The sequence below is a fragment of the Homo sapiens genome, chromosome X (genome assembly GCF_000001405.40).
Source record: "Homo sapiens chromosome X, GRCh38.p14 Primary Assembly".
NCBI lineage: Eukaryota > Metazoa > Chordata > Mammalia > Primates > Hominidae > Homo > Homo sapiens.
This window is the reverse complement of record NC_000023.11, coordinates 87,721,691-87,729,478: the sequence shown is the minus strand read 5'-3', so window position 1 is coordinate 87,729,478 and position 7,788 is coordinate 87,721,691. Positions and strand designations below refer to the sequence as shown.

General features: G+C 40.3%; 1 long non-coding RNA gene across 1 annotated transcript; it reads left to right on the top strand.

Annotated features, from left to right (window-relative positions):
* The first annotated feature begins 813 nt into the window (after positions 1 to 813).
* On the top strand, positions 814 to 5,551 carry LOC124905233 (uncharacterized). The gene is made up of 2 exons (XR_007068363.1): positions 814 to 1,035; positions 5,267 to 5,551. It is a non-coding gene; the product is annotated as an uncharacterized LOC124905233 (long non-coding RNA).
* The last annotated feature ends 2,237 nt before the right edge of the window (positions 5,552 to 7,788 follow it).

The window sequence follows — 7,788 nt, the reverse complement described above, 5'->3', positions numbered from 1 at the left end:
ACTATGTATTGATGCAGCTTGAGGCCCCCATCAGAAGCAGATGTTGTTGTCTTGCTTCTTCTCAAGCCTGCAGAATAATGAGCCAAATAAACCTCTTTTCTTTATAAATTGCCCAGGCTTATGTATTTCTTCCTAGTAATACTTAAGTTTTTCCAAAAGAAAAACCTAAGAAAAAAGATTTACACAGAGTAAAAAATAAGATGAAAGTTTAAAAAATATGTAATTTAAAAATGTATTGGCTATAAGAAGCATAATGTGCACTTACTGAGGCTTAAATAAGAGGTTTTTTTTTTTTTTTTTCCCCAAATAACTAGTTTTCAGAGAGTAAGATGCAGGCACTTGTTTAGTATCTTAACAAGGTCAGGGCTTTGAATAGTTATCTCTGCAATTTTCCTGACTTTTTCTCATAATCATAATATAGTTTCAATGGTTATATCTACTACATTTCATAAAAATGCACCCAAAGGCACAAAAGAGGTAGTGTCATGGAGTAGAATTTTTCTCCCATGCCCATCTTGTATCTGAAAGGGAAGCACTCCACGCCAGAAAAATTATCCTTATTTTTTATAGGACAGAACTGGATCACATGTCTGTCAGTAAGCATGTGCCCATTTTCCTAGAGATCAAGGAATTTTTACCTGATACTTAGAGAGCCAGGTGGGAAGGGGAGGGGGGTTCCCTGGAAAATCCCCGGAGAAACTTCATCCAGCCTGTGCAATGGGAATGTGCACTGGGGTGGAGCCACACAGCTTCATGCCATTTGCAGCAGGGAGGAGCCTGGCCCTTCCTCTTCCTGTGTGGAAACTGGAATTCAATTTGCTTGGTGAGAAGCCCTCTAGCAGGGGCTCTGGCCTTTCAAGAGTCTCTGTTTCCCCCTTTTCTTCCTTTTCACCCAATAAAACCCTGTCTTACTCATCATTCAAATTGTCTGCGAGCCTGAATTTTCATAGCCGTGGGAAAAAGAACGCCATCTTTAGCCGAACTAAGGAAAAGTCCTGCAACATTTTTAGCGCCCAACGTGGAGGTCGAGAAACGGTTAGTGAAATGGGGACTCAAAACCTCTCGGTGTCACTTTTAAGCCTTTAAATCCTTGGACTTCTGAGCTTATGGGAAACTGCACCCCCACGCTCTGTTGCTCCTGGGGATCTGGAACTAACCCATCCTTTCCATGACCTTTTCTGTCCTTCTTCCGGAGGGACGGGCAAGCAGAGGTTCCCCTCCACCCTCCCCTGCTTGCTAGAGCTCGGACGCATGGCCCAACGTGCCATGGGCAGCTGGCTGGCGTTTTCTGCCACGCACCAATGGAGTCTCCTCCTCCCAGCATCAGGGAGGTCAGCTCCAACCCACATCAAATAAACTTGTCTCCCCAGTGGAGGAACCATTTGCATAAGAATAAGAGATTCTTCCCCAGATATTTTTAAGCTGTTTCTTTTTCTTTCCTCCTTTCCACCCTGTCAGCAGTTAATCTTTAAAGTTTTTTTTTTTTTTTTTTTCTAGAAAATGTTTTACTAGGCCAGGCCCCCCAGCTATCACTGTGTATATTCTCTGTAAAACTTTAATTGTGAAAAAGTATTTGTGGGGCTGGTCTTGGGCTGCAGCCAATCTGGTGTGCTTTGCATGTCTGTATGGTTTGTGCTGCAAGCCTCCATCTTGTTTTACATCCTGGAGGCATGGCCGGTAACCACTTGGCAAGGCTTTGTTTAGCAATCCTACCTTAGGGGATGAGCCCTTTCTGGTTCAATATCCGCATGTTTTCCTAGCCCTGTCTCTTAAAGGGCCCCACCCGGTGACTGGGTATTCTGCCTCTCAGTGTGTATATTGTCTGTAAAAAGAGCTCTAATTAATTTGGCCTAAAGAAAGACAAGAACTTGGATATAATATTTTGTAAATGGAATATAAAATCGGTGTTACATTTCAGTTCACGTGACTTTATTCTCTAAGAAATGAAACCAGCTCTTAATACTATTGGTAAAATGCAGGTCAGATGCAAGATTTGCTAAGTGTTTTGAGGTTACAAACTGCTTTTTGAGTTTTGAGAACTATTTGACTTGCACGCTTCACAATTGGTAAGGCCTGGGACATATGGAACTAACCAAACCCTTAAGAAGGCAAACTTTGGCTGCAGTTAGCACACAATTAAAGCAACTTACCAAGTTTTACCTTAAAGTTCAAAATTGCTAGGAGTTAATTAAAACAACTAGAAATAGATTTACATGCAAGGTATATAAGAACATGCATAATTTACATGCAAGGTGTATAAGAACATGTGTTTTCTAGTAAAAGGTTATAAGAAGGCATGGAAATATAAACTTTCGCCTAGGGTTAAAGGACTGTTTTGAGTTAAATTAGGAAAAAGCTGAAGGTTCAAAGAAGTGGTGGAAGAATTGTGGCAATTAATCTTGCAGAAGAGGTTCTCTGTGTGAACATATTGACTAAATTCAAATAAGGGTATTATATGTTTTTTCTGTAAATTGAGCATTGAAATAAAAGCATAACAAGGTATTCCTAAGACGCTAATCTGCTCTTTGGCAAAATTTGTAAAGGGTTATAAAAGCTTTTTTCTTTTTTAAAACTTCTGGGTCATCATTTTGGCAAAATAAATAACTTATTGTAATCTGGATTCCATTTCATAATATTAAGTGTTTTAAACCTTGAACATTTAACAGCCTTCCCCAAATCAAACTTCAGTTTCAAAATTATCTTCCCTGGCGCTTGGCTTTTTGAATACTGCAGAGGGCCCCTGAAGTGTCCAGAAAAAAGAGGTAAACAGGATTATTTGACGTGTTTAGGTACATGGGATTGCCAAAATGATACTCAATCTTAATCTTTAGGTTGTATGTTCGTGAATAATGCTAATATATGTTCCAAAATTATATGGGATTTGTAAAATTCCAGTGTCTGAGTATATGCTATCAATCATAATTAAGGTTGTTATGTTAAGTTTTTGTGAACCATGGAGATAACCAAACTTTGAATCGTGTTTCTAACTGTAACTACTCTGGACATTTTCATATTCACAGAGAATTGTTGTCTTGTTTGAATCCTTTTCAAAGATGGCTTATAATTAGCTGTAGAACTTTAACAAGTGCTCTCAAATGCAGGCTTCTGATAACTTTGGAGATTGTAACATTGGAATAAAGAAAAATGTACAAGATTCTAAAAGAACTAAAATATTCATGAATATCAAGCAAAACAAGAGTTAACTAAATGGACTGAACTCAAGAAGCTGAAGCAAATATTTTTGACTTTTGCTTGCAATATAGCTGATCCTTGTTTTTTTTCAGATTTAAGTAAACTTACTTTGAAATATTAAAGCCTTTAATAATTAAGAAAGGTATTCACTATTGTGACTTTGTTTCTCTCTGCCTGGTTCCTCTAAAATTTGAAAACTATCTGTGAGTATTCTTATAGCAATATAGTTGTTTGCATCAGTGCTGTAAGGATCCATTTTTCTTCTGAAATGGAACTCAATTGGAGAGAGTGGTTATTTTACCAATGCTTTGATGGGAAGGCTATGCTTCCCTTTAAGGAGTCAGTCTCAACTTGCAGAGCCAATAAAAGCCCAGTGGGGAAACTGGCCTGATACCCTTGTCTACACAGTCCCTATACAGTGTTCCTGACCTATTGTCAGTAAAGAATGTCAATTTCTAATGGGTCCAGGAGCTCCAAGTTTATTACGGGACCTTAAGAGGAAAGGATAAACCAACTCACAGGTATTTGAGGATACAAACCCATGGTTGGCCTCAGCTTTAAAAGGTCTTATCTGAGATTCCTTGTGGAAGAAACTTCCATCAAAGCCAATCCAAAAGGCTTATGTGGAAATAATTATTCTTGCTGCCCTTAATGCAAATAATCAGGCCAAGTATAAGACTAAAGTCTATTTTGCAAATCATTCAGTCCTATGTTTTTTTTTTTAGCAAAATTGAGGACTGGAAAGAGAGAAAATATGTTCCAAAACTAATCATACATTTGCCTTTAAATTCTAAATTCATTAGCGGTTTTAAAGTTTTTGCCTGTATTTTTAGACTAACCCTGCTTCTTCCTGTGAATCAACAAACAATTTCCAGCTGCAGCTCAGAAAGAACAAAAGGGATGGGTAATGTAGAAATCTGGATCAATATTCTAGTTCTGAGCAATTATCCTGCAAATCCTGCCAGGTGATGGTAACAAATAGGATGCCCATCACTTGGAGGTTTCCTTTTTGGGAAAGTAAGACCAAGGGAGCTAACCAAAGTCAAGCACCATGCACCCAAATCCTAGCAAGCATAACTATAGCCACCAGCTATCTGAGTGTGTCACAAGACATCCTTTTCTCTCCCTTGTTGGAAGAGAACTCAATTCCACACTTTCACCTGAGCATTCAGCCCATGCAACCCCCCAGACACATTTTTGTCCCAAGCTTAATCCCAAACTTCAGGTCAAAGCCCTAGGAAGGAAAACTGGATCTGAGTGATCTAGAGGCAAATGATAACAGAAGTTAAAAGGCAGAGCACGGGTGAGTGTGGCTGATTCCTGCCGATTATGCCAAGCCCAGGCTTCTCGTTTCATGGATAATGGCCACGTTAGTATCCCTGGCATAAATGAGGTCTAGGGAACTCCAAGGCTACTGACATCAGGGGAGATGGCGGTACATGGGTAAGAGTGGATGATTTCAACCCCTAAGCCCCCCCCTGCTTCATGGGTGCAAGTTGCTTTGACATCCATGGTGGCACCTGCCAAGGTCACTGGAACTCAGGGGTGCAAGGATGGAAAAGAGAAAGAGGACACTTTTCCCTCTCTCCTTCACTTACCCCTGGGTATCTACCAGGAGGAGAAGGGAACCAGGGATGCCTGCTCGCCTCTTCTAGATGGGTAACCATTCATCTTCAGTCCGTACCCCTTTCCAATGCATCCTGAACCCCTGGGACTCCTTTAAAAGGCACCTTCTTTTTTTCTTTCTCTTCCTTGGTTCTCTCTTCACAGATAGGTAATTGTGTCTTCATGCTATGGGACACTCCCCTCAGATGCATCCTCAGAACTGGAAAGAGTTCATTTTTTAAACCCTAAACTGATTGGCTTAGGATTGGACTCAGGGGAAGGGAACCTAGAAGCCCAACATGCCGGCAGTAGGGTAAAGTTTTTTTAATACCAGTCAGGCTTTTGGCCTCCCTCTCCCTGTGCAAACTGGTAAAAGGCCTTGGAACTTTTAAGCTGTCCTTACCCCTCCCCTTGTTAAGTTTTGATACATGTTTTCCTAGTAACTCGATTTGTCTGTTCTTGCCTTCAGGCCGTCAAACTCCAAATGGTGATGCAACTGGAACCTCTGATGATGGCCCCTTCTGCCGGGAACCCTTAAATAGGCCTCTGATGGAGCCCTGACTGCCATTTCCCCCAAACAGCACCACCTATCAGCAGGAATCAGTTAAGATCAGTCCTCGTCTTATCCTTCATCTAATGGCAGTTAGATGTGCCTCTTTAGAGGAGGGAATGAACTCTGTCCTTGTAAGAGTCCCTGTTTCCCCCTTTTCTTCCTTTTCACACAATAAAACCCTGTCTTACTCACCATTCAAAATGTCTGCAAGCCTGAATTTTTGTGGCCCTGGGTCAAAGAACCCTATTTTTAGCTGAACTACAAAAAGTCCTGCAGCAATACCTTTGAGGAAGAAAAATGAGGGAGTGGTTTTTGAGCAGACAACCGTTTCTGCCACAGATAATACAGGGAGAATGTATATATACACACAGACACGCACGCACACTTTTATACACTTTCTTTAAAATCTCGTTTTTCTTCTTAGAAACTTATCAAAGCCTCTGAGTCAGTATGTATAGTCAAAAATAGGTTATTTAGATAATATTTATTAAATGAAAACAAAGTTCATGAATTTTTTAATCTACTTCAGGTTTTTTTCCAGAGGCTACCTTCCACGTTCTTAGCCTTCTTTCACAATTTAGTTTGTCAGTCATCAAAATTTACATGTTGTACATGTTTATTATTTATTTTATATTGTCTGCATGAGTGAAGTATTTTTTTAAATTAAGGCAAATGTAAATATGGAAACTTTCTTCCAAGATAATAAGTTTCCCTTTGGTTAGAAAATGCTAACATTAAAATGGGGTTTGGCCTTTGTCTCCCTGTGCTGCAAAAGGAGCTTTGCTCCCATCTTTACTGTTACATCTCCTACTCTTCAGAAGGCCCTAGGTTACTCTACCACAGTCTCTGTGGCCCTGTGACCTGCAAGTACTGGGAGATCTGTAGGAAAAATGCAGGGATATGCCAGAAGCTGGGAAATACGACTGTCGTCATTCAGGGATGTGGTCATAAAATTCTCTCTGGAGGAATAGAAATTTCTGGACCCTGTTTAGGGAAATTTATATAAGGATGTGATGTTACAAAACTACAGAAATCTGGTCTCAAGAACAGCCAAGATGGCTGACTGGATGTAGCTAAGAATAGCTTCTTTCCACTCAGGGACCAAGCCTCCAAGAAGACCAGCACACTAGAGCAAATCTTTGGAAGAAAGGCACTGAGAGTGGACAGAGGGAAGACACAAATGCTGGGATGAAGGGGGAGGAAGCCAGAAACCTTGGGTGGGATTTCCAGGCACCAGGACTAGTTCCTGCCCCCAGGCTGTTCTGCAGGAAGGAGTGAGATGAATAGGCATGAAGTGACCCATTCTCACCAAGGACCACCAGAGTCCTAGCTACAGAAGACCCCATGACCCCCACAGACAATTGAGGTGGCAGAGAGCTGCTTGGAGAGTTGGCAGGGATGAGACTTCAGCCTGTGCAGAGCCCATATCATTTGGCGTGGAAACAGCTGTAGTGGAGCATAGCCGTTGTTGCCCATGCCCCCAAATTTACCATACTCTTGGCCTTTGTTGACTGGTGGACCTGGACAAAACAGGGTTATCTTGCTGTGGGAGGGGACCAGTTTGAATGCACCACTGTATGCTGTTCTCTCCCAGAGTCCTTGCCTAGCCACGCTGCTTGCAACACAATCTCTGCTGCCCAACTTAGGTGCTTTCCAAGGGTCACTGCCATAGTTCCTTTGCAGGCAGACCCCACATTACCATTGGAGAGCTTCTGCCCCACCAGTGCACACCTGCCCACAGTGTCCCTCCACTGCTTTGCTGGCACACATTCACACAAAACTTCACCTCACTGCATCTGAAAATTGTTTTTGAAATTTTATTTTTTGAGACACATATTCTGTCTTTCATGGTATAACTTTCTTTTCGGACCTGTCTCAGATTTTCTGGTTTCACATACTAAAACATATAAAATTAAAAACACCAACAAGTACCAAATATTTATGAAAATGTTAATAAATGAAACTACCATGCCTTGCTGGTGGACGTGAAAAATTTTGGAGTCACTTCTGAAAAGGTTTCACAGGTCCTTATAGAGTTAAACATATACCTACCCTATGACCCAATAATTTACTCATAGTTATTTACTTAGAGCAATAAATCATACAAAGGATTACTACTATGCAAAAAAGAAACTATTAATATTTACTTTAAAAATTGATGGATGTAAAAAAATATTAAGTGAAAGAAGCCAGATAAAAATTGTATACACTTTATAAATACACTTTTATCAAGTTTAGGAGTAGGCAAAATCTATTCTTGTTATTAGAAATAAGAATAATGTTTGCCTATGGGTACTATACTTGACTAGAAGTGGGCTTGGGGAAGCTTCCTGGAGTTATGGAAATGTTCTATATCTTGATTAGGATTATGTCTACATGGGTATATAAATTTTTTTTAAAAAAATTTAACTTATGCACTTAAAAGTATGCATTTCACT